A 26,981-nucleotide genomic window follows, 5' to 3' on the forward strand; every position below is an offset into this window, starting at 1 on the left:
GTTTCCCAGCTCTCCACCTAAAAACAGGAAAAACAAATAGAACACAGGTGTTTCCCTAAACTGAGAATTCAGAGTTTAGGAAGATAAAAGCAGCTAGAATTTGTGGGGCAGTGCCAGAAAGAAGGGAACTATTAAAAAGAGAATTATGGATATTTGAAGAGATTCCTCCCTCTATTTCCCCCCAGCTTTATTGAAGTATAACTGACAAGTAAAAACTGTATGTATGTAAGGTGTACATTGTGATGTTTTGATATACATATATATAATGTAAAATGATTACCATGATCAAGCTAATTAACATATCGATTACCTCACATGGTTACCATTTTCTTGTGTGTGTGGTAAGAACATTTAAGATCTACTCTCCTAGCAAATGTCAAGTATACAATACTGTATTATTAACTATGGGAACCATACTATACAATTAGATCTCCAGAATTTATTCATCCTGCATAACTGGAACTTTGTTCTTTATGACCAACATCTCCCCATTTCTCTCCCTCTCAGCTCCTGGAAACATCATTCTACTTGCAGAGTCCCCTTGATTTGAAGGCTGAGTACTGATCTGCAGTATTCAGCAATGAGGAAACTACCCAGGGCCAGGGGAAAAACCACCAGAAAGGAGGAGGCAGGAAAAATCCCTTGACCTCATATAGGACTGGGAATAGTTTGGGTTCCCAGCAGCCAGCGTGGAAAGATCTTATAGGGCATTGTGTAGGGTCCTCAGAAGGCTATTGCCTCAATAATGGGCTCAAATTAGCCCTAGGCTAGTGGCTGTTCTGGGCCTGCCATAACAAAGCTTAAAAGGAAGCCTCTCACGCCTCTGCGCTCCAGCCTGGGCGACAGAGGGGAACTCCGTCTCAAAATAAATAAATAAATAAATAAATAAATAAATAAATAAATAAATAAATAAATAAAAGCCTCGGAAGAATCAAACCAATTCCAAATAACTTATCTTGTCCCAGAATAAAACTCTTGAAATATTCAAAGTAATACAAGAAAGTCTATCACCTAATAAAGTAAAATCCACAATGTCCAGGAGCCAATAAAAAATTATCAGGCATGCAAAGAAGCAGGAAGAGATAACTCATGATCAGGAGGAAAACCAGTCAAAAGAAACAGACCCAGAAAACACACAGATGATGGAATTATTAGACAAAGATGTTAAAACAGTTATTACACATATACTTCCTATGCTTAAAAAGTAAAGTATAAACATGATGAATAGGAAAATGGAAGATATATAAAAGACCCATATCGAGATGGGTCTAGAGATGAAAAATTCAGTACTGGAAATTAAAAATAAACTGAATGACATGAACAGGTAGATACTACAGAAGAAAATATCAGTGGATTTGAAGGCACAGCAATCATTTTTTAGAAACTACGAATGAAACACAGAGAAAAAGAGACTGAGAAAAAGTGAATTAGTGAGCTGTGGGGTAATATCTAGTGACTGAACATGTATGTAATTAGAGTCTCAAAAGATACAGCAATTGGGAGGTAGAAAGAAAAAATGCTGGAAGAAATAATGATCAAAAATTTTTCCACATTCGGCCAGGCATTGTGGCTGATGACTATAATTCCAGCACTTTGTGAGGCCGAGGCAAGAAGATCGCTTGAACCCAGGAGTTTGTTACCAGCCTGGGTAACATAGTGAGAACTCCTGTCTCTAAAAATAAAAACAAATTAAAAAATTTAAAATAAATTTTCCAAATTTGATTGAAACTACAAGCTTACTGGCCCAAGAAGTTCAATGAACTTCAAGCAAAAGAAATGTTAAGGAAATGACACTGGGCCGGGCACAGTGGCTCACGCCTGTAATCCCAGCACTTTGAGAAGCCAAGGCAGGCTGATCACCAGAGGTCAGGGGTTCGAGACCAGCCTGGCCAACATGTTGAAACCCCATCTCTACCAAAAAGACAAAAATTAGTCAAGTGTGGTGGCACGTGCTTGTAATCCCAGATACTACTCGGGAGCCTGAGACAGGAGAATCGCTTGAACCTGGGAGGCGGAGGTTGCAGTGAGCCAAAACTGTGCCACTGCACTCCAGCTTGGGTGACAGAGTGAGACTACATCTAAAAAAAAAAAAAAAAAAAAAAGAACACATCCTAATCAAAAGACCCAAAAGCTGTGCAAATAAAAAATTCTAAAGGAGGTGGTGAGGAATATGCCTTCTTCAAGGATTATTCAACTTTTGCAGCCTGATTTCTGCAAGTTTGGGAGCACAAGACTTGCTTTATTTTAACAAAAACTTTTTAGGCCAGGCTTCCTGAGGTTTCTCCAGCAATAGTTATGCTTCAAAGGCTTACAAGATGGCTGGGCGCCATGGCTCACGCCTGTAATCCCAGCACTTTGGAAGGCCGAGGTGGGTGGATCACAAGGTCAGGAGTTTGAGACCAGCCTGGCCAATATAGTGAAACCCCGTCTCCACTAAAAATACAAAAAGTAGCCGAGCCTGATGGCAGGCGCCTGTAATTCCAGCTACTTGGGAGGCTGAGACAGGAGAATTGCTTGAACCCAGGAGGCGGAGATTGCAGTGAGCTGAGACTGTGCCACTGCACTCCAGCCTGGGCAACAGAGTGAAATTCTGTCTCAAAAAAAAAAAGCTTACAAGACAGGCTGGGTGCGGTGGCTCACGCCTATAATCCCAGCACTTTGGGAGGCTGAGGTGGGTGGATCACCTGAGGTCAGGAGTTTGAGACCAGCCTGGCCAAAATGGCAAAACCCTGTCTCTACTAAAAATACGAAAAAATAGCCGGGTGTGGTGGCGGGCACCCGTAGTCCCAGTCACTTGGGAGGCTGAGGCTGGAGAATGGCTTGAACCTGGGAGGCGGACGTTGCAGTGAGCTGAGATAGCCCCACTGCACTCCAGCTTGGGTGACAGAGCAAGAATACATCTTAAAAAAACAAAAGCTTACAAGACATTTAATCTGTTTGCTTCTTCTATTCAGTACCATGTGCCAATAGCCACAGCCAGGATTCTTTTCTAGACAGAGTCCTTAAGCCTATTTTATCTCTTTTCTTCCCTACCCCAAACCCTCTTTTCTCAATTTAGTGTCAGTTGTCTTGAAACTATCTGAAACAATTGGGCAAGATTGAAAGAAGATCTTTGTCTGACTGAAATGTCTCAATGACAGTCCTCTGAGCTACAAGTCTTGTCTCGGCTATTACGGTATTGAAGCAGTTGGCTTTTAGAAATCTTTAAGTCCTCAAGCTTCTGGACTCTATTCCCTTCTTTCACTTGCAAACCAGTAGATTCTAGTCTGAGCTCATCTCTTTTTTGAACATACCTAGCCAAAAACAGCCAGCAGCAGCCAACTCACAGTTACATTCTGGCTCATTCCATCTACCTTCCCTAGAAGTACCAGTACCATAAGAGTTGTGTCTGCCTGTCAAGTTATCACAGCAACAGTTTTACCAAATATTTTGCCATGGCATAGGAAGAGGCTCCGTCTTTCAGTCAGTGATATCAGTTCCTAACCTCCTGCTGTGCATCTACTAAGCCAATCCCTCTGTTTTAGGTGTTGGATTTCTAAATTAGGGTATGTTAAGCTAGTTTATTAAACAGATCCAAAATGTAATAGTTTACACCCAATATAAATTTTTTTGCAATTTACCTAACAGTCCAGAGGCATCTAAGTAAAATGTTCAAAATCTGTAGGAGCAGGGTTGGAGAAGAGGTGACTCAGCTCCACATGGTAACTGAAGGACTCAGGATGCCATCTTCAACACATGGTTTCCAAGGACACTCTCAGCATGAACCTCCCAGTCATCCAGAGAAGAAAACAGCAAGAAGTCTTCACTGGTAAGGCATGAAGTGGTTCACATCACTTCTTTTCCCATGCAAGTGGAGAGAACTTAGTTGAATGACCACAATGAACTGCAAGGGAAACTAACTATGAGAGTGAAGAATGGATTTGGCGAGACAGAGGTCCATCTCCATCATTAATACAAGCACTGTATCAGTCAGAGTTCTCCAGAGAAAAAGAAATAATAGGATAAAAAGACAGGGAGAGAGATTTTAAGGATCTGGCTCATGTGACTGTGGGGGCTGGCAAGTCTGAAATTAGTAGGGCAGGCTAGCAGGCTGGAGATTCAGGATAAGAGTTAAGTTGCAGTCTTGAGTTGAATTCCACAGGGCAGCAATTTGGAAACTAAGTTACGGTTTCTACATTGCAACCTTGAGAATTTCTTCTTCTTTAGGAGACCTCAGTCTTTGCTTGTGAGGCCTTCAGTTGATTGGATGAGGCCTATACATGTTATGGAATGTAATATGTGTTACTCAAAGTCTACTGATTGTTAAGTGTTTATCACATCTAAAAAATAACAGCACAGCAACATCTGGGCTGGTGTTTGACCAAATAACTAGGTCCCATAGCCTAGCCAAGTTGACACAAAGTTGACCATCACAGATAACCAAATATTGACAATGGTTACCTTTTGGAATCTGAAGTAAGGGAAGGTGCATGAGGACGGCATAGGGAAGAGAGGCACAGATTTTTGCTTTTCATTTTATACCTTCACAGATATTTGTATTTGTACCAAATGTGTATATTGCTTTTTTACAATTGTTATTTTTAATAAGAAAGACAGAACTTTGTGGATTGAACATGTGAGCCTGAAAAGAAAAAAGGCCCTTTTTTTTCTTTTTTCTTTTTTTTGTGACAGAGTCTCACTCTGTTGCTCAGGCTGGAGTGCAGTGGTGCAATCTCAGCTCACTGCAACCTCCGCCTCCTGGGTTCAAGCGATTCTCCTGTCTCAGCCTCCCAAGTAGCTGGGATTACAGGCGCACGCCACCACACCCAGCTGATTTTTATATTTTTAGTAGAGATAGGGTTTCGCCATGTTGGCCAGGCTAGTCTCAAACTCCTGACCTCAGGTGATCTACCCGCCTTGGCTTCTCAAAGTGCTGAGATTATAGGCATGAGCCACCGCACCCAGCCAAAAAAAGGCTTTTTGAAAAAGAGGATGAGGCAGTGGGTAGCTAGGAGCACATCGACCCTGCCTCTTGGTCCTCAGACAAGAGAAGAGAAACAGCAGCGTCTGCTCAAAAGGGTTGTGAATTATCATGGATTATCAGATATATTTGTGTAATTACATTGACATTTCCCTCATAAGAAAGTTAGGTTTTTAGTTCAAGTGGTAGGAGTATTCTATGATAAAATTGAGAATCTAGCAAAGTCTCAGCAAAGAACAGGGGCTGCAGAGGACACATTGAAAATTAAATACAGAGCAAAGGTGAGCCAGGATGGAGGAAGGCCTCGGCAGACTGGAGACATGCGATAAGAAAGACAATGGTCCCAGGAGAAGAGGGACAAGGGGGTCAAAAGGCATGCCAGAGAGACCCTCCCAGATCTACCTGCTCTCTTTCTCTCCTATTTTTAAGATTTCTCACCTTGTCGAGGGGGAAACAAAGCCTTTTATTGTTTTTTGTTGTTTTGTTTTTACATGGAAGTTTATTGAGAAGCTTGAGGAGTGGCAGGAGAGTCCAGGAATAAAAAAATGTAATAATACTTGCTGTGCATTTACCAGGTCTATGTCTTCATGTTCAACCACAGGGAGCCTCTCGTTGGCCCCATTAGAGGACCCATTCTTATTTATTTATTTTTGAGACAGGTTCTCATTCTGTCTACCAGGCTGGAGTGTAGTGGCGTGGTCTTGGCTCACTGCAGCCTCGACCTCCCTGGGCTCAGGTGATCCTCCCACCTCAGCCTCCTGAGTAGGTGGAACTATAGGCACCTACCACCATACCCGGCTAATTGTTGTATTTTTTTATAGAGACGGGGTTTCACCATATTGCCCAGGCTGGTCTCAAACTCCTGGGCTCAAGCAATCTGCCCACCTCAGCCTCCCAAAGTTCTAGGATTATAGGTGTGAGCTACCGCACTTAGCCCAGGGGACCCATTCTAAAGTTTCCTCAGTGTGTAATCTACTCTACCTGTCTCCCTTCCCCTAAACAGTGGATACAAAACACTTCATCTCCCTAAAAAGCAGGCAGGGCCAATTTTTGTCACTAGGTGGCATGCACATATAAGCAGTGAGTTGAGTTGCAGAAAAGATGAAGGAAAACTAGAAAAAGCAAACCCATTCAACAACAAAGAAGGAACTTCAAGAATGAGGTAAACATATTTAAATTGCCTTTTTGAAATCGTTATCACCAACTTGCTTTTTTTCGTGCCCCACAACTTCAGGCTGAGTACTTGGTAGTGATAGAAAGAACTATCCCTGAACCAGGTGGCAGCAAAAAGCAAAACATGGACTAAGAGAAGCCAACAAGCCAAAGGAACTAAGGGCTTAATCACCCTTTTGGGCAGCCCACTTCTATCTCGAATGGCCTCTCTAAATCATTGTGCATATTATTTAGTATTTTTATATTATCCAAAAGTCATTCCCCCCCACCCCACAGTTTTTTTTTTTCTTTTTGAGACAGAGTTTTGCTCTGTCACCCAGGCTGAAGTGCCAGGATCACCTTAAATTATCCAGTGGGATCACCTTAAATTATCCAGTGAACATGAAGCACAGCCAAGACTAGAGGAAAATGAAATGTGTTCATCCACAAGTCTAGTGCTTAATCAGCAAGATTTTACTTGATAAAGTTAAAGCTTTCAGACAAATGAAAATAATCTTAAGAAAAATAATCTAACTCCAATCTAGAGTCATTATAAATTAATGATTACAGGGGAAAAGAGAAAAACAAATTGTCAAATGATTTCTTAGTGTATATAGAAACAATATGAATCTAAATTTTTTGAACACTTCACTATTCAACTGCTTTTAGTAATGTTCCCTTATAATTTACAAAGGAACTTTACATATATTATTCTCATTTCATTTTTGTAACAATTTTATGAGTATGCAGGCCATTGCAGGAATTATTGTCCTCTTTTTTTAGACAAGGAAACTGACGCTTACAGTAGCTACCAGTTGTAAGATTTCTGAGCAGATTTCTACTCAACTCACCTTTGTGTCCACAATGCCCGTAGCACAGGGTCTTGCACAGAGGTCGTGCTTTAAATGTGCTTGGTAAATGGGTGAACGAATGTATGCAATTATAGCATGATACAAATGTCAGGTTCTTGCCCTTTCTGATCCTCCAGAAAGTATATCTGAGAAAAGAAGTCACACTCTTGGCTAATGTCTTTCTGGAAAATTGGTTGTTCTTGATTATTTTCACCGAGTTATTCATTGCTATAATATAGTCAAAATCTTAGATAAGTCCACCACATCTAATTTAAAGTGGTCTTTAGTGTTCCAAACTTGACTTCACTCAAATTTCCTTATTCTTCAAGTTCCAGAGAGAACTTTATTTATTTTTTTCCAATGGCTTGCTGCCTGATGCAACCCATTAGTCAGTGGTAAAATTAATGGATTATGACCACATTTTTCGAAGAATGAAATAAAATACCAAAGTGCATAAAAGAGGTATTGTTTCATGGGACTTCTATAACTGGGATGCAATAATAAAAATGTGTTTCTTACTGTGGGGTTGTGGTCAAAAAAGTTTGAAGACCACTGCACTAAAGTATTGCCCCAGTTTGATTAAAAATGTAAAATGTTCTCTAGAATGGAAAAATCTGTCACCAGATCAAGCTTTCAGACTTTTTCTACTTTCTTGATATGTATGACCTCTGTTTAAGATCCAATTGACTGTTCAGCAAATGGCTGAAATAGCTATAAACCCCAAAATCACTTTTGTATTAACAAAAATTATATTGGCTGGGCGCGGTGGCTAACGCCTGTAATCTCAGCACATTGGGAGGCCAAAGCAGGCGGATCACGAGGTCAGGAGATCAAGACCATCCTGGCTAACACGGTGAAACCCTGTCTCTACTAAAAATACAAAAAATTAGCCGGGTTTTGTGGCAGGCGCCTGTAGTCCCAGCTACTCAGGAGGCTGAGGCAGGAGAATGGCATGAACCTAGGAGGCGGAGCTTGCAGTGAGCCGAGATCGCGCCACTGCACTCCAGCCTGGGTGACAGAGCAAGACTCCGTCTCAAAAAAAAAAAAAAAAAAAGGAAAGAAAAAAAATTATATTGAAGGATTCCTGAGCAGCCAGATGAATTCTGGAGCCAAATATAAGTTTCTGGGTTTTAAAATGTGCTTAGCCTCCAACTGCAGAAGGCCATTTGAAACTTGAAATATCATCTCTTAGTAGGCTTAAGTAGACTTAGGTTTATCCTCTTCCTCACTCATCTGGTGATGGTGGAATAATTTTTAAATTTCTTCTAATATTCAAAAAGTCTTGTTAAAATATACTATTTAGACAATGAGAGTAATGTGGGAAAGCTTTGTAAAAAAATGGAATAGAGACAGTGATAATCATCTAAATGATACTCTGAAGACCCCAACTTGTCTTATGTAAAGACATTTTGAAGATCTTTTGCATGTAGGGTAACAGGTCCAGATGGGATTCAAGTTAAGCAGTTTTATATTGTAGCCCCAATGGAGACAGCCCTACTGGGTGCTGCAGTAGAAAGAGCGTGGACCCTGAAAACTAAGGATCTGGGTTCTTCCTGGTTCTGTTACTTACTCGTGTAGGATCTTGGATAAATCATGATTTGTCACCTGTAAAATGGAAATAATAAAAAGATACCCTATCTCCCTCATAGGATTCCTGTGTTTGAAAAACAAATGCCTTTAATATGCCAGGCATAGTATCAATTGCTTTACAGAATCCATCAAGAACACTATGAGGTAAAAACCTATTTATCTGATATGACTAGAACCAGTAATTTATAGGTTAATCTAAAAATTTAATTACAGTTATGAAAAAATACATATATACATACTTTAGACATGTTTAACTTAAAACATACAAATATATACTTGTTCACTTTTTATGTAGGGCCAAGGCCTTTTCCTTGAGTATGAGTCTACTGATTGCAATACCGTTTTTTTTTCTGCATAAACCAAACCCATCACCTCTGATTTCCAGTTTTGGTTTCTTTAAAGTGGAGCATGAATTAAAACACTAAGAAATAATGCTGAATCTTTCTAAATTTTTTGTTACTTTTTTAGTCTTTGTTATTTCACCAACAGCAATTATTTTTAGCAACTTTTTTTATTGTTATTCCAAGTCATTCAGTTTAATTTTCACAGAAGTAATCCTTCTTTTGTATTCATATTTCATAATTTAACATATTTAGTCCATGCATTTAATTACAATAACAAGTAAGATAAATTATGTTACACAATTGACTGGCAAGAGTTGTGCACAAGCATGGTTGAGAGCATTCAGCGTGATGTGGATGCTGGTCATCAAGCTTTTCACAGGGAACTGGGAGGATCCATCTGAAGACTCAGGTAAGTGGAAATCAGATAAGGGAGCTTTGACTGAGTTATTAACTCCATTTTCCAGACGAGGCTATTGAAGCTTAGAAAGTTAATTGTCCATTTTTAAATGAATGACTCATATAAGAAAGGCTCTAACAGAAATACAGGAAAGAGAAATCTAACTCAACCATGTAAAAGGTGATGCTAAGTAGGAAAAGTAAGAGAAGAAAAATCAGGCAAATAAGACAAAGAACATTCTAGGCCGAGAAAACAAAGGTAGTAAAGTCCAAAAAGAACATGAAAGGCTGAGCACTGTAGCTCATGCCTGTAATCCTAGCACTTTGGGAGGCTGAGGTGGGAGGATCACTTCAGCCCAGGAGTTCAAGACCAACCTGGGCAACATAGTGAGACCTCATCTCTAGCTTAATAAAAATAAAAAAGAACATGAAAAATGCAGAATTTGTTTAAGAAATCTGCTTAGCTAGAGGACAAGATATAGTGGGGTAGGTGGGCGTGGTGGCTTACACCTGTAATCCCAGAACTTTGGGAGGCTGAGGCAGGCAGATCATGAGGTCAGGAGATCGAGACCATCCTGGCCATCATGATGAAACCCCGTCTCTACTAAAAATACAAAAATTAGCTGCGCGTGGTGGTGGGCACCTGTAGTCTCAGCTACTCGGGAGGCTGAGGCAGGAGAATCACTTGAACCAAGGAGGCGGAGGTTGCAGTGAGCCGAAATCACGCCACTGTACTCCAGCCTGAGCGACAGAGCAAGACTCTGTCTCAAAAAAAAAAAAAAAAAAAAAAGATATGGTGGGATATAGAGATAAGAAAAGGCTGGAGATCCAGGTTGGGATGGTTTTGTGTGCTAACTAGTTTAAATTTACTTAAAAGCTACTGGGAGCCATTGAACAACTTTCCTTTGAGGAGCAACACAATCAGATTTATTATTATTTTTTTTTTATTTTTGAGATGGAGTTTCGCTCTTGTTGCCCAGGCTGGAGTGCAATGGCATGATTTCGGCTCACTGCAACCTCTGCTGCCCGGGTTCAGGTGATTCTCCTGCCTCAGCCTCTCTAGTAGCTGGGATCACAGGCATGTGCCACCACGCCGAGCTTATTTTTTGTATTTTTGGTAGAGATGGGGTTTCACTATGTTGGCCAGGCTTGTCTTGAACCCCTGACCTCCAGTGATCCACCTGCCTCAGCCTCCCAAAGTGCTGGGATTACAGGCGTGAGCCACTGTGCCCGGCTTCAGATTTATATTATATTTTACGAAGATCATTGCCAGGCCGGGCGCAGTGGCTCACGCCTGTAATCCCAGCAATTTGGAAGGCCGAGGCAGGTGGATCACCTGTGGTCAGGAGTTTGAGACCAGCCTGGCCAACATGGTGAAACCCTGTATGTACTAAAATACAAAAATTAGCCAGGCGTGGTGGTGCATGCCTGTAATCCCAGCTACTCGGGAGGCTGAGGCAGGAGAATCACTTGAACCTGGGAGGCGGAGGTTGCAGTGAGTCGAGATAATGCCACACTGCACTCCAGCCTGGGCGACAGGGTAAGACTCCATCTCAAAAAAAAAAAAAAAAAAAAAATCATCCCACAGCAAGATGGAGGGTGAACTGGAGTCAGGGAAACTAGAATAAAGGAAACTACCTGGTAGGCTATTGCAGAAAAATTAAGGGGACAGTGATAAGGATCTGAGTCAGTGTTGGTGACATCCCCACATGGTATTCTCTTCACAATAGGTCTCCTCCCTTTAGTCAACAAGTGTGAAGTGTTAAGGGGGCAATGTCACTGCAGAGAGTGTCCCTGCCAGCCCCACTATTAGGTAAAAATTAAATTGTTTCTGGTAAGAATTTTACCTGCCCATCTTTTCACACATTATGGGGCTTATGAGTGGGCTTAAACCCATAAGAGAAGTGTGATAATGGGTACCCATCTCTATGTAGCTTAAATATGCTTTTTTGTGCAAACCCCTCAAAACACTATATAAAGTAAAATTAAAGAGAAATCTCTAAAGTTGGAAACAAAATCAAACAAATGTAAATTGTATTCTGTTGGCAATAACCTTAAAGAAATAATTCCAGATAACTTGAAATCTCAGTATTTGGACTGTGAACTCATAGTGTGATATACCTTACACAATCCTCCCTGTCCTTTACTCCACAAAAAACAAAACTTGAACTATTTTCATTAACTATATTGTTGGTAATGTTTATGTTAATATCTGAGACTTCTGAGTGTATATTCTTAGCTTGTACTAATGAATAATTATGTAATATTCTAATTATATCAGCCGGCTGCTGCAAATTGGAATTCTTAGTATGGTTTGATAAACGAGACACAGACCAAAGAAATTAAGTAAAAATTCTGTAGCCCTGAGTATCAGTATAACTTCATGTTGTATTTTGTATTAAAACAACAACAAATAATACCAATGTTAGTCCACAGAAAGGCCTAGAAACCTAAAAACCCAGTCTCACCATTCCTAGTGCTCTGATCACAATCTCCAAATGCCATTTTCCAGTAAAGATGAAACAAGCCTCTTTGGAGAAATTGTTGTTTTCAAGTCATGCAGGAAATACACAAGATGAGCCTTAGAACATCTTGTTATATCACTTAGCAAGGATGCTACCAATGACAACGAGGGTCATGCAAATAGACTCAGGAGCCAAATGAAAGAGGCTCTCGCTGGCCAAAAATGGGACAATTTGAGCATTCATAAGAGAAATAGCTTCAGTGGACTGAAGTACATCAAATATGTTTAAATGCATGAATTGCTAATGACATACACATTAATTATTCACTATTGGAGGATGTTAATAAACAGCTCATTATTTTGAAGACCAAGGAGTTAGGCATTTATTCTTAACTTCCCCCAAAAAGTAGATGAGAGGAAGTTCCTATTTAGAGGTATTTTAGATCATAAATGAAGGAATACTACAATTAGAATACCATCACTTTTAATATCTCATTAATTAATAGATCAAAAGCTGCTCGCATTACAGAGACAACCAATAGTATGAAAAAACCAGCATGCTATCACCAAAATCCAAACTAAGAAAAACTCTACAAGGTAAACAACACAACTTCTTCAACAAATATATTGTAAGAGGGCAGAGAGATGCTGATGAACCAATAGGTGAGTGAACCCCAAACCTGCAGCTTCAGCATCACCTGGGAATTTGTTAGAGATGCAAATTCCCAGACTCCACAGCAGACTTACAGATCACCAGCTCTGGGGTGGGGCCCAGCAGTTTGTGTTCTAACAAGGCTCTAGTGATTCTGATACACTCTAGTTTGAGGACCACAACAATTGAAGAAATTTAGGATGTGTATCAGCTAACTGCAATATTCAGTACCTTACTTGGTTCCTGATTCCAAAAAACTGCAAAAATTTTTGACATCTATAGACAACACATTATATTAAGGAATTGTCCATTTTCTTAGGTGTAAAAATGGTATTCAGATTACACATATTTTTTAAAGTCCTGAAATATTTACAGATAAATGATAAGATTTGCTTCAAAATAATACAGAAAGGGCAGAAGCAGGTGGGGTTACAGATGACACAAATTAGCTAGGAGCTGATAATTGTCGAAGGTGGAGGATGGGTTACCTAGGTGTTCTTTATTCTCTCTTTCTCTCTCTCTCTCTCTCTCTCTCTCTCTCTCTCTCTCTATATATATATATATATATATATAAAATAGTGTATATACATAATAGTATATTTTTGAGATTTTTCATTCTAAAATTTTTTAAAAACTCAAACTAGAATAAATTAAAAGACTGACTTAAGCAGAATTAATCTAAAAAAAGAGAAAGTATATAGTACTTTTACTTAAAGGGCAGTATTGAAATACATAAAATAAGTATAAATAGTCTGAAAAAAACCTACTCCATCCTAGTTTGTGGCAAAATGCTTTTGTTTTAGAAGGGGGATCTAGAAGCTCTATCAATTGTCTGATGTAATTTTAAGTAACTGGCCCCATTGGAGAGAATGACTTACCTGGGAAGAGAAAGGCCCAGTCTGGTCAAGGACATATGAATATCTACACACATTTGCTTTCCAATTTCCAAACTAGCTTAGCTTTTAGAATGTAACCTGTTAATAAACTCAGGTTTACTGTCATTTTTAAAAGTTTACTACTTTAGCATATTATGATTGCAACCTGAGTAGACTAATGCAGATATTAGTAATGGCTGTTTTTCTTCCCTAGACAGGAGACAATCCATCTTACATAGGGAAAATAACCAAATTATGTGTTATGAGAGATGTTCAGAGGCCTGTCTTGAAATGTCATCTCCAATGATCTGGTGATGCTGTGGACCTAGAGTGTCATCCAAATAACTAGTCTTGAAATTTCTTCAGGACAAGAAATTTTAAAAAACTAATTGTGAGGCTGCAGTAGCCCTTAATAACTCCTTGAATTTAATTCTTGTGATAGTTTTATTTCCTCTGTAATATATCTTTGTTATTGTGCTTTTAAGAATAGAGTGAATATACATAAGCAGAACATATTTGGAAAAAAATTTAAAAAAATTTTAATGAATAGGGTGAATAGATGTAATCTCTCCTTTTTAACTTCTCCCTCTTATTTATTCCTTACCATGGAAACATAATTTGTATATGAAAACCTGGTCCATAAGAAGTCTGATTAGAAAGCACCAACTTCAAAGCCTCAGGGTATGAGTGATAGAGTGTGCTATATATTCTCACTTTAAAAAGGTGATGGCAGAATTTTGAGGATGGTTTCATGTTTTATTTTAGCCATTTCATATTTGTCATTATTGTTATCATGGGCATCATTTTCTTCATTATCATTCGAATTATTATTTTGCTTAGAGTGGTCAATGATATGGAGAAAAGACCATTAAAAGTCATTACCATCCATTATCAGACATCCTTCTGATAAAACTAGTCTCAGAATAGGGACTTCTGTTCCCTTTCATCTGCTTTTATTGAGCTCCTGCTGTGTTTCCACCCACGTTGACTACTTTGTAATAAGGAGAACAAAAAAAAAGACAAAGTCCAACTTTAGAGAGCTCACACACTCTAGTTGAGGAGATGGGATGAGAAGAGAATCACCACATACCCATGAGGAGGCTGTAATATAGAGCTTGACAGCCTGGACTATTAGGCTTTACACTGGTTGAATTCAAATCCTGACTGCCACTCAATAGCTCTGTGATGCAGAGCAAGTTACTAACCTCCCCTGCCCCAGTTTCCTCATCTGTTAAATGAAGGTAAGAACAGTAATTACCTTGTAGGGCTGTCTTGGGATAATCCTTAAATTAGATAATCCATAAAACACTCAAATTTATCCATATATTCATCCATATATTTTATTTCTCTGTTGACCATTGTTTCTTGTATGCCATACCTTCACCTTGGGCAGATCCTCTTTTTTGTCCTTGGAATATAACCTTTAATAATTCAACTCTCTTAGTTTTGTATGTCTAAACATGTCTTTATTTTGCCTCCAATATTGTACATAAAATTCTAAGTTGATACTTATTTTCCTCAGCACTTTGAAGATACTTTTCTACTGTCTTCTGGACTTTATGGTGCTGATAAGAAAGAAGTTTGCTGTTGGTTTAACAATGATTACCTTGAAAATTATGTGTTTTTTCTCACTGGTAGAATACTCACATTTAAGTAGACATTTGATGAATGTGCATATTTATTGATAAGACTCCACACAGGACTCCTAATTCCATAGATTATGCGGGGAGGATCATGGTACAAACATCCTTCTCCCTTATGAAGGGGCATGGCAGAAAATGAAGGCTATTGTGACTAAAAGGAAGCTCTGCGAGATTAACAACATATAACTATAACCTTGTCTCCAAGGGAGATCTAAGAGTGCCCCCACAAGAATCTGAGAGACTGTAATAGGATATGAAGAGAACAGCTGAGGACCCTCATTTTTATTTATTTATTTATATTTAATTTTTTTTCAGACATCAGTGTTACTTGCCAAGACCCTCATTTTTAAACTCCAACGAGTTATTACGTTCCTTTCCACTCTTGCTTTCCAATTCCTACACCAAGACAACTCTGTATTTTGAGTATATGAGTCAAGTATGGCAAAAAGTACAGTACCTTAAAAACTTTTATTTTAGTCCTTCCTGGCCCATGCTAAAACTTATATCTAGAAATACGGCAAAACAAAATGAAACAGATCTCTCCTTGTACATAAAACAGCTAAAAATTTGGCCTCTTTATTGATCTTATGTCATGTATTTGGCTTGAAAAAAAAACAACAACAAAACAAACAGTTACAAGGGTTAAACAAACTAAATTTTTCTTCTAAATCTCTAAATGCTCATAGACAGCCAACTTGCAGGGCATACACAGTGCCTTGAGAGTCGGTCCCACAGAAAATACTTATGTAAATGAAACAAGAAGGATGCTATTTGTTTTTCATTACATAAACATTACCTGAACTTAACTAATCAATCCACTTATTTGATAAAAATCATCTAGGACCAAAAGCACTATCAAGTTTGCTGGCTGCCATTTTCACTCTAATCATACCCAAAAGGCTTAGAAATAATTCAAAACTAGAAAGAGGCCCAAGTAGTAAGGCTACCTATGGCTCTTGCTACAAAACAGTTGCCAGTCTGATGTGTGTGTGTCTAGAAAGAATGATAGAAAATAAAGAGTTCTTGAGTTCAAGAGAACTTCCCAGAAGGAGGTGGTGGGCCAAGAAATCCACCTGCCTGCTTGGTGGCGGCTCGTGAAGGGGCAAGGCCGAGAATCTTCTGAATGTTCTGTGAAGAAAGCACAGTAAGGATTGGGTTTTAATATCAAATATACAGAAGATGTGTTTTATGTAGCTCTCAGGCAAAGGGAACTCATACTCATATAGATTAAAGGAACCATTATGACCTGCAATAGGATGATTATCACTTTTTTTTTTTTTTGAGATGGAGTCTCGCTCTGTCACCCAGGCTGGAGTGCAGTGGAGCAATCTTGGCTCACTGCAAGCTCTGCCTCCCAGGTTCACGTCATTCTCCTGCCTCAGCCTCCCGAGTAGCTGGGACTACAGGTGCCCGCCACCACACCCGGCTAATTTTCTGTATATTTAGTAGAGACAGGGTTTCATCATGTTAGCCAGGATGGTCTCGATCTCCTGACCTCATGATCTGCCCACCTCGGCCTCCCAAAGTGCTGGGATTACAGGAGGGAGTCACCGCACCTGGCAATCACTATGTTATTTTTTAAAAAGGCCTACAATGTAATGAAAATCATAGAACAGTAAAAGCCTTCCTTACCTGATGAGACCTTGGTCTACTAATGAAAGTGGTTGATTTTTTTCGAGTAGAGAATCATAAAAGGAGATAATTTTTTTAACAAGAAGCATATGAAGAATATTCATTAGCTATTTCTTATGGGCATTTTCTTTGAGTACGGGTCTGCTGGCTGGATTTGTCATTACTGCACTGTCTATAATTTTCAGTTTCGGCCGGGTGTGGTGGCTCACGCCTGTAATCCCAGCACTTTGGGAGGCTGAGGTGGGTAGATCACTTGAGGCTAGGAGTTCAAGACGAGCTTGGACAACATGGTAAAACCCCATCTCTACTTTTTAGTAGAAAAATACAAAAATTAGCTGGGCATTGTGGCATACACCTGTAGTCCTAGCTACTCGGGAGGGTGAGGCATGAGAGTCCCTTGAACCTAGGAGGCAGAGGCTGCGTGAGCCAAGACTGCACCACTGCATTCCAGCCTGGGCAACAGAGTGAGATTCTGTCTAAAAAAAAAAAAAAAAAAAAAAAACCAGTTTCAATTTCTTTACAGTGTTGAAAGTACTCAGAAACCTGCAAAGCACTCTGAGTTCAGAATTCTCCTAAATTTTCAGGACCCTGTCATCTTTTTCCATTGTTTCACCTACATCTAATGCAATTTTTTAAGAAACTCACTTTTATACTTTTATTCAGTTTTTAAAAACATACTTTGTTCTCATAATTCTTTTTTTTTTTTTTTGAGATGGAGTCTCACTCTGTCATCCAAGCTAGAGTACAGTGGCACGATGTCGGCTCACAGTAACCTCTGCCTCCTGGGTCAAGCGATTCTGCCTGCCTCAGCCTCCTAAGTAGCTGAGATTACAGGTGCCTGCTATCACACCCAGCTAATTTTTGTATTTTTTTTAGTAGAGAAGGGGTTTCACCATGTTGGCCAGGCTGGTCTTGAACTCCTGACCTCAGGTGATCCGCCTGCCTCAGCCTCCCAAAGTGCTGGGATTACAGGCATGAGCCACTGCGCCCAGCCAATGTAGCATTTTATAAGAGGAAAAAAACCTTAGAGATCCTGATTATTCTTGCCCAGTTCCTTCATTTTATATTTGAAGAAACTAAAACTCAGAAAGGTATGATGGATGGCTTATCCAGAATTACAAAGCTAAATTAAGAGCACAGTTAGAATTTAAACCTGTTGTGTTTCGACCCTTAATCTAATGGATTCTCTTACACAGTAGTTTCTGTGTTAAAGTTCTGCTCTTCAGAACAAACTCCATTCTGTGGTAGGCAGGTTTGCATGCATTAAACTATTCATCCAGTAGTTACTGAGTACCTACTAGATATAAGATACTGTGAGAATATCCATAACCAGGCTTCTCTACAAGCATACACACCCTCAATCCTTCATCATGAAGAATGATGACTACTATGGATAAGAATGTGTATTGAGGACGGCCGGGCGCGGTGGCTCACGCCTGTAATCCCAGCACTTTGGGAGGCCGAGGCGGGCGGATCACGAGGTCAGGAGATCGAGATCATCCTGGCTAACACGGTGAAACCCCGTCTGTACTAAAAATACACACACACAAAAAAAAAAAAATTAGCCGGGAGAGGTGGCGGGCGCCTGTAGTCCCAGCTACTCAGGAGGCTGAGGCAGGAGAATGGCACGAACCCCAGGGGGCGGAGCCTGCAGTGAGCCGAGATCGCGCCACTGCACTCCAGCCTGGGCGACGGCGAGACTCCGTCTCAAAACAAAAACAAAACAAAACAAAAAAAAAAAAAGAATGTGTATTGAGGTAACACTGTTAGAATACAACAGAATGTTTAAATATGGAGGACATAACTTTAAGGACTCATCTAAATTATATTTACCATAAAATATTTCAGTACATACATTCAACAATACTATAGCTCATTCTTTAAGAAGACATCTGAAATGAGTGAAGAAAAAAATCAATCGTTAGTACATTAGGATACCTCTCCTTAGTAAAGATGGAGAATGATCAGACTTTGTATTTCTTTTTCTGAGACGTGGTCTTGCTCTGTCACTGAGGCTGGAGTGCAGTGGTGTGATCACAGCTCACTGCAACCTCCACTTCCCGGGCTCAAGCATTCTTCCCACCTCAGCCTCCCGAGGAGCTGGGACTAACAGGCATGCCACCATGCCCAGCTAATTTTTGCATTTTTAATAGAGTTGGGGTTTTGCCATGTTGGCCACGCTGGTCTCAAACTCTTGGGCTCCAGTGATCTGCTCACCTCAGCCTCCCAGGTGCTGGCATTATAGGGGTGAGCCACTATGCCCGGCCTACTTTGCAATACTTTTTTTTTTTTTGAGACAGAGTCTCGCTCTGTCGCCAGGCTGGAGTGCAGTGGTGCGATCTTGGCTCACTGCAACCTCCGCCTCCCAGGTTCAAGCGATCCTCCTGCCTCAACCTCCCGAGTAGCAGGGAATACAGGGGCACATCATCATGCCCAGCTAATTTTTTGTATTTTTAGTAGAGACGGGGTATCACCATGTTGGCCAGGATGGTCTCGATCTCTTGACTTCGTGATCCGCCTGTCTCAGCCTCCCAAAGTGCTGGAATTACAGGCATGAGCCACCGTACCTGGCCTGCATTACTTTTATAATAAAAATAGCTCCTTAAAGCTCACCTCTAAAAAACCCATTACACAAAGCAGTAAAAAGACCAAATGATGTCACTAGTTTGCAATTTCTTTATTTAATTAATATTTCCTGAGCACCTACAATGTATTTAGCACTAAGCTAGGCATTAAGGGAAATTGCTTTAAAGATAAAATTTGAAACAGTAAGACATACAGAATTAGCTGCTGATAAACATATTTGTCTAGTTAACAAATACAGTAATATAGCCTAGACAAAATACACAAGGGATTCTTGCTCAGTTATTCTGAAGGGTCAAATAGATGAGTCCTTATCATTTTAGAGATTAAAAACCAATGTAAAAATGTTGGATGCCCTTTATAGGTTTACCGTGATTTAAAGAAGATGATTGAAAAAATAAAAAATAATATTTTGAAGAAACAAGAAACTGAACTGGTAGTCTGTTGAATTTCATTTACTAACTCAAAATATTTAAATGACTACTGAGGGTAAGCCACTGCTCTAGACGGGAATATCTCAAATAGCAATAGCAGCAACAAAAAAGTGTTAAAAATGAGACACTTCAGTAGCCACAGCCAAAGTACATGGAAATCCAGGCAACTCTATACTTTCCTTTACTCTATACTTTCCTTTCCTTGTGGCTCTTGCCACAGACCCGTTTTGGGAACACTAAATTAAATGTATCGGTGTTACATTACACAGGTATTTGTATTTTAACACAAACATTCTGCATTTACTGCATGCAATTTTATCCTTTCGTGAAATTCTAAACTAATCTGTTTAAATTCCTATAGTCTCACAGGTGAAACCTAGGTCTTCCATTTTTCTCAGACAGATTTCCCCTGCTTTTCCATCAGTGAAATCTTTTCCCCTAAAACCCATGTAGGAACTAAGTGATGGTCTCAAGATGCAAGAGCCACAGGTAAAAGGACCAGACGTCACTAATATCTCTACAGTAGTAACATCCTACATTTCTACACACTTTAAAGTTTGCAAACAGTTCTAAGGACTAGATAGTAGTCCTTAGTTATCCCTGCTGTTGAGATGAGAAAGTTGATGTAGGGAGAGGTTACAAGTCAGAAAGTGAACTGATATAACTCAAAGTGCAGTTTTCCTTTATTAAGCCACCTCTCTGTAACAGACTGTTATCTTAGGAATAAAAAAATCACATAAAGAAGCAAAAAAAAAAAAAAAAAGGAATAAAAAATCGTGTAACAGGCCTATTTTTTTAAAAAATCACAATTATGCTGTTAAATGAGCAAATGGTTTCTCTCTCTCTCTCTCTCTCTCTCTCTCTATATATATATATATAAACATACACATATAAAATATAGTTGCTATGCAAAAAACCCATAGAATGTACAATGCAAAGAATGGACCCTAACATAAACTATGGATTTGGGGGTAATAATTATATGTCAGTGTAGATTAATCAATTGTAACAAATGTACCACTCTGGTGGAGAAAGTTGATAGAGGGGTGTGCTATGCATATGTGGGGGCAAGGCATATATATGAAATCTCTGTACCTTCCACTCAATTTTGCTGTGAACCTAAAACTGTTCTAAAAAATAAGGTCTATAAAAGGGAATATAAAGTATTTAAGAATATATAGTAAGATAACAGTTGTATTAATAATAGTTGTATACTTTTTCTCATATCTTGCCTTCCCCAACTTTTTGAAATACTGCTAAATGGAATACTTTTAAAATAAAGAAAAATATTCCTGTGGGTGCTATTTTAAAGTGAAGGTCATAGTATGAAGCTAAAAAAAAGAATAACAACAATAATAATGGTTAACAGTTACTGAGTACTTACACTCTGCAAGGCATTGTTCTAAGACCTTTATATGTATGTCCTCATTTAAATCCTCACAACTTAATGAGGTGGACATCATTATCCTTGCATGTAGATAAGAAAAATAAGATACCAATGGTCAGGCTGTAATTCAATAAATACTCACTGAATACCACACTGTACAGCAGGCACTTTTGTATATATTATCTCATTACATCTTTCAACAATCTCATCCATTAAACTTAACCTGACTGCTTTCCTATAATCTCTCAATTTTTCTTTCTTCTTGAGGTCAAGTTTTCAGGCCTTGTTAATTAGCAAGATTTAGTTTAGAAATATGCATTTAGGCCAGGAGTGGTGGCTCACACCTGTAATCCCAGCACCTTGGGAGGCCGAGGTGGGTGGATCATCTGAGATCAGGAGTTTGAGACCAGCCTGGCCAACATGGTGAAACCCGTCTCCACATGCGCCTGTAATCCTAGCTACTTGGGAGGCTGAGGCAGGAGAATCATTTGAAACCCGGGAGGCAGAGGTTGTAGGAGATCGTGCAGCTGCACTCCAACCTGGGTGACAGAGCAAGACTCCATCTCAAAAAAAACAAAAAAAAAGAAAGAAATATGCATTTAGCTAAAAGATAGGAGTTTTAATATATAATAAAGATGCTATGAAAGAAAATAGAAATGCAAAATATAGTAAGATGCAATCAAGTTTTGGAAAAATGTAAAACAATTATTTTGAATTCCTGTCCAGTCCTGTATAACAGGGTAACAAATGAAGAATGTATACCCAGAAGAGAAAAACAAAGGAAAAACATTTTCCCATAATTGTGTCTTCTACTGGCAGGAAAACCTGAAAAATACAAACACAGGATTTGTGTTCTTTCCTCTTTACCATGATTAAGAACCAGTGATCAAGAAACGGAAGTTGTTGGTTGCTAACTGGATATTTTGGGAAGACCCAGGTCAATGGCAATAAACACATTCTGCTGAATTTTATTCCTTAGTCATTTAGCTAAAATAACACACCTATGGCAATCCTCAGTTCACTCTGTTAGTTTCTCTGACATCTGGCAACCAGTCTTCACTTCCAATTAATCGCAATATCTCATTAATTCCCACAATGTAATCTTTACTCTATCAACAAAGCTGTATATAAAATCTAATCACTTCAAAACGACCCTTTCCAATATTACCAGGGCTCTCACATTATATCTGACTAGACTATTTGGGAAAAATAATGTAGAGATTAAATATTTACTAAAAAAACCTTATCGTACAAGCTTGATATCGCTGAAATATTATTGGGTTAGCAATCAGAAAACTTGGGTTACAGTGCTGACAAACTAGACAATAAAACAATAGGAGTATCTTTTCATTTTACCAAATCTCAATGTCCTTACTGTTAGAAAAAAGAGGGTTGACTAGATCAATCATTTTCAGACCCTTAAAGCCTTTAATAACTCTTTTATTTTTTAATTTTTAAAATAAATTTCTATTCTTTTTTATTTTTATTTTTTGAGACGGAGTCTTACTCTGTCGTCCAGGCTGGAGTGCAGTGGTGTGATCTCAGCTCACTGCAACCTCCACCACCTCCTGAGTTCAAGCAATTCTCTTCCTTAGCCTCCCAAGTAGCTGGGATTACAGGCGCCTGCCACCATGCCCGGCTAATTTTGTATTTTTAGTAGAGACAGGGTTTCACCATCTTGGCCAGGCTGGTCTTGAACTTCTGACCTCGTGATCCACCTGCCTTGGCCTCCCAAAGTGCTAGGATTACAGGTGTGAGCCACCGCGCTCGGCCCATCGTTTTTTGTTTTGTTTTGTTTTGTTTTGTTTTTTTGCACACAATTCACAGAGATTAACAGAAGCCTTTTGAAAAATAAAATGTGATGTATAAAAGCCCAATACAGAAAACAAATAAAATAGGGTAGAAAACGGAAGCTCCCTTCTGGGACCTTCTTAACACATATCTTATAAAGTGGAAATAAAAATTCTGAAAGATAAGCACATCAAATCTGCACTAGAGTAATGTCACTTCCTTTGTAATGATGAATGAATATTTTCTGTCTTAGGTTGATCAAAGGCCCTCTTTGTAATAAAGGTCTTTTCTGCTGCGGTCAGGAGATTAAGTGACAATCTCTTTCTCTCCCTCTCACTTCCTCCTTCCTTTCCTCTTTCTCCCGTATCTTTCCAATGAAAATGTCCCTAGATCTCTTTTAGCTCCTTCTTTGAGGATCAGTCAAGGAGAATATTCTGAATTTTAGCTTAGTGCAGAAAGACAAAATGTTTTATTTTTTGAAAATCTCATAATGGAGGGCATAACCCCAGTTGGCACTGTGAAGAGTGTCTAAAACTCAGAATAAACTATAATCTTACTGGTTTGAAGAATCAAAAAGCTACTGGAAAACCACAGCTACTGGAAATAGAGAAAGAATCCTGGAAAACAGAGAGACAACAAAAAAGGAGCCTCAAATTTTGCATATAAACTCTGCCCCCAAATCTCTGCTTAATTTTTTTTTTTTTTTTTTTTGGAGACAGAATCTTGCCCTGTCACCCAGGCTGGAATGCGGTGGCGCAGTCTCAGCTCACTGCAACCTCTGCCTCCCAGGTTCAAGCGATTCTCATGCCTCAGCCTCCTGAGTATCTGGGATTACAGACATGCACCACCATGCCTGGCTAATTTTTGTATTTTTAGTAGAGACGGGGTTTCAACATGTTGGCAAGGTTGGTCTGGAACTCCTGACCTCAAGTGATCTACCCGCCCTGGCCTCCCAAAATGCTGGGATTACAGGCATGAGCCACCACGCCTGGGTCTGCTTAATTCTTAAACTATGTACAAGGCAGCCAATAAGCAGCCCAGTTAAGACTAAAATAACTGACCTGAGACTTCAGCTGCCATCTACCACAAAGGAGAGTTTGGAGTTTGAGTGCTGCTATGGTCTGAATGTTTGTTTCCCTTACAAATTCATATGTTGAATCCAAACTACCAAGGTGTTAGAAGGTGGGAACTTTTGGAGGTGATTAGGTTATGAGGGCTCTGCCCTCTTTAATGGGATTGTCCTTTCAAAAAAAAGGTCCCGAAGAGCTGCCCTGTGCCTTCCACCATGTGAGGATGCAGACAGAAGGCACTCTCTATGAACCAGGCAGGAAACAGGACCTCACCAGACACCGAATTTGCCTTGATTTTGGACTTCTCAGCCTCTAGAAGAGTAAGAAATAAATTTCTATTGTATATGGTATTTTGTTATAGTAGCCCTAATGGACTAAGACAAATGCCAGGTTAACTGCCTGCCTATACAAAAATATCAACACTTCTTCCAAAGAATAAAAGAATCCAGAATATCTTCAACCTATCGTTTACATTATCCAGGATATGATCCAAAATTACTAGATATATCAAGAAACTGGAAAATATACTGTTACTTAAGAGAACAGGCCGGGCGCGGGGGCTCACGCCTGTAATCCCAACACTTTGGGAGGCCGAGGCAGGTGGATCACCCGAGGTCAGGTGTTTGAGACTAGCCAGCCTGACCAACATGGTGAAACCCGCTCTCTCCTAAAAATACAAAATTAGCCGGGCATGGTAGCGGGTGCCTGTAATCTCAGCTACTCAGGAGGCTGAGACAGGAGAATCACTTGAACTGGGAGATGGAGGTTGCAGTGAACCGAGATCATGCCACTGCACTACAGCTTGGGCAATAAGAGCAAGACTCCATCTCAAAAAAAAAAAAAACAAAAAACAAAAAAAAGAGAACAGGGAATGGAGTCCAAATTCCAAATGTTGGAATTAGCACACAAGGTTTTTTTGTTTTGTTTTTGAGACAGAGTCTTGCTCTGCCGCCCAGGCATGAATGCAAAGGCGCGATCACAGCTTACCACAAACCCGATCTCCAGGGCTAAAGCAATCCTCCCACTTAAGTCCCCATAACCCAGCAGCTGGGATTACAGGTACATGCCACTGTGCCCAGCTAATTTTTGTATTTTTTGTAGAGATGAGATTTTGCTCTGTTATCCAGGCTGGTCTTGAACTCTTGGGCTCTTGGTCTTGAACTCCTGCCTCAGCTTCCTAAATGCTGAACAGGCATGAGCCACCACACCAGCCCAGCAGACAAGGTTTTTAAAGCAGCTAAATAATTATGGACATAAAATATGGCTCATAATATATTAACAAACAAGAAATCTCAGGAAGGATGCCAAATAAAGCAAAAATTCTGAAACTGAAAAATATTACCTAAAATTCAAAAATCATTGGGTAGGCTTAGGGTTAACACAGATTAGAGGAGTCTGTGAACTTGAAGACAGATCAACAGAAATTATCCCATCTGAAGAACAGAAAAAAAAAAAGATTTAAAAAAATTCAACATAGCTTCAGTGTCCTGTTGGACAATACCCAAAATGACTAATATATAAGCAACTGGTGTTCCAGAAGAAGAAGAGAGAGAGAATGAGGCAGAAAACAGTTAAAGAAATAATGATTGAAATTTCCCTACATTTAATGAAAACCATAAGTCCTAGCAGGAAAAACTTTAAATAAAAATACTCTAGGCACATCACAGTCAAATTTCTGAGAACCAATCTCAAAGAGAAAATCTGAAAGTAGCTAGAGAAAAGTGACATTACTTACGAGGACACAAAGACATGAAGAACTTTTCAGAAACAATGGAGGCCAGAAAACAGTGGAAAGGCATTTAAAATGCTTAAAGGTTAAAACGAACAAAAAAGCCAAACCAGAATTCTATGTCCAATGAAAATATCCTTCAAGAATGAAGATAAAATAAAGATATTTTCAGATAAATGAAGATTAAGAGAATTTGTCACCAGCAGACTTGCACTATAAGAAGCACAAGAAAGAAAAATGAAATTCCTTAATGCTATACCATGAGGTGAAGATTCAGGCAATCCTTCTCAGTGACAAGCTTCACTTCCTGTTACAGCCCACCAACAGCTCTAGATTCAGTAGTCCCTATATCCATTACAAACGTTCATGCCTCCATGTTTCCTATGCCAAGAACACTTAAGATTGGAAAGCTGCCAGGCGTTCAGCACTTTGGGAGGCCACAGCAGGCAGATCACTTAAGGCCAGGAGTTTGAGACAAGCCTGGCCGACATGGTGAAACCCTGTCTCTACTAAAAATACAAAAATTAGCTGGGTGTGGTGGCATGCACCTGTAATCCCAGCTACTCAGGAAACTGAGATGGGAGAATTGCTTGAACCTGGGAGGTGAAGGTTGCAGTGAGCTGTGATTGCGTCACTGCACTCTAGCCGGAGCAACAGAACGAGACTCTGTCTCCAAAACAAACAAACAACAACAAAACAACCGAAAAACCAGGCCTATTTCTTTGCCAATGGCATTCATGGGAAAATCACGGTACAGTCTACAATTTGAGTTTCTGAAATCCTCATATTCTGACTATTCATTTCGCAGGCAACCATAGAGTCAATTCTTATGTAACCTAAGATCTTAAAAAGCAAATAAAACAACAACATGTAACCTAAGATCTTAAAAAGCAAATAAAACATGTGGAAATAGCAGGCTAATAAGGATTTTAGTTCAAAGGAAGAAGCATATATTCCATGATAACACTTCAAATGCTGTTAAGGCATTTCAGACTGGATATATTAATATGTTCATAATTCTCTTGTGCATAAGCTAACAGTGAGTAATAGGTAGAGAAACAATTTATAATTAATAAAACAAAAAGTATAAAGGTAGGTGACTTCTGTGATTTTTCCAAGCTTTAAGTATTTCAGACTATTTTTGTTTTTAGAATTTAAGTAATAAAATTATCTGCAAGATGACTATCACTGAGGATGCTGCAATAAGTAGTTAGAATTCAGCTGGGATCTTGGGGAAGACAACTATATACCAAAAGAACAGATCCTTCAAATACAACAGTTTTACATTAGCTATGCAATACTATAGTCCTTATAGACTTTTTTTCTCATGCGTGTCATGCAGAGAGAAGGCACTCTCTATGAACCAGGCAGGAAACAGGCCCTCACTAGACACTGAATTTGCATACACCTGGACAAGTGGAAATAAAA

The 26,981-nt window shown here is 39.3% G+C and overlaps 1 protein-coding gene across 4 annotated transcripts in view, besides 2 other annotated features; it reads right to left on the minus strand.

The window, feature by feature from the left end:
• Window positions 2,952-3,152: a silencer, noted in NCBI's record as "peak437 fragment used in MPRA reporter construct". NCBI's record gives its function as "represses an SCP1 promoter by STARR-seq MPRAs in K562 erythroleukemia cells {active_cell/tissue: K562}" and the evidence as "EXISTENCE:reporter gene assay evidence [ECO:0000049][PMID:32103011]".
• Window positions 6,043-6,092: an enhancer, noted in NCBI's record as "active region_2021". NCBI's record gives its function as "activates an Ori minimal core promoter by ATAC-STARR-seq in GM12878 lymphoblastoid cells {active_cell/tissue: GM12878}" and the evidence as "EXISTENCE:reporter gene assay evidence [ECO:0000049][PMID:35858748]".
• Window positions 12,225-26,981, minus strand: part of TMCO1 (transmembrane and coiled-coil domains 1) — a 44,632-nt gene continuing 29,875 nt past the window's right edge. For 3 of the 4 annotated variants that reach the window (NR_045818.1, NM_001256164.1, NM_001256165.1), the window contains exon 7: window positions 12,225-16,055. Coding sequence is in view for 3 of the 4 variants with exons in the window: in NM_001256164.1 (NP_001243093.1) it covers window positions 15,957-16,055 (99 nt within the window). In the remaining variant the exon portion in view is untranslated. The remainder of the gene's footprint in view (window positions 16,056-26,981) is intronic. The other variant, NM_019026.6, reaches the window with a different exon arrangement.

This window comes from Homo sapiens, chromosome 1 (genome assembly GCF_000001405.40).
Source record: "Homo sapiens chromosome 1, GRCh38.p14 Primary Assembly".
In the NCBI taxonomy this organism is placed as follows: domain Eukaryota; kingdom Metazoa; phylum Chordata; class Mammalia; order Primates; family Hominidae; genus Homo; species Homo sapiens.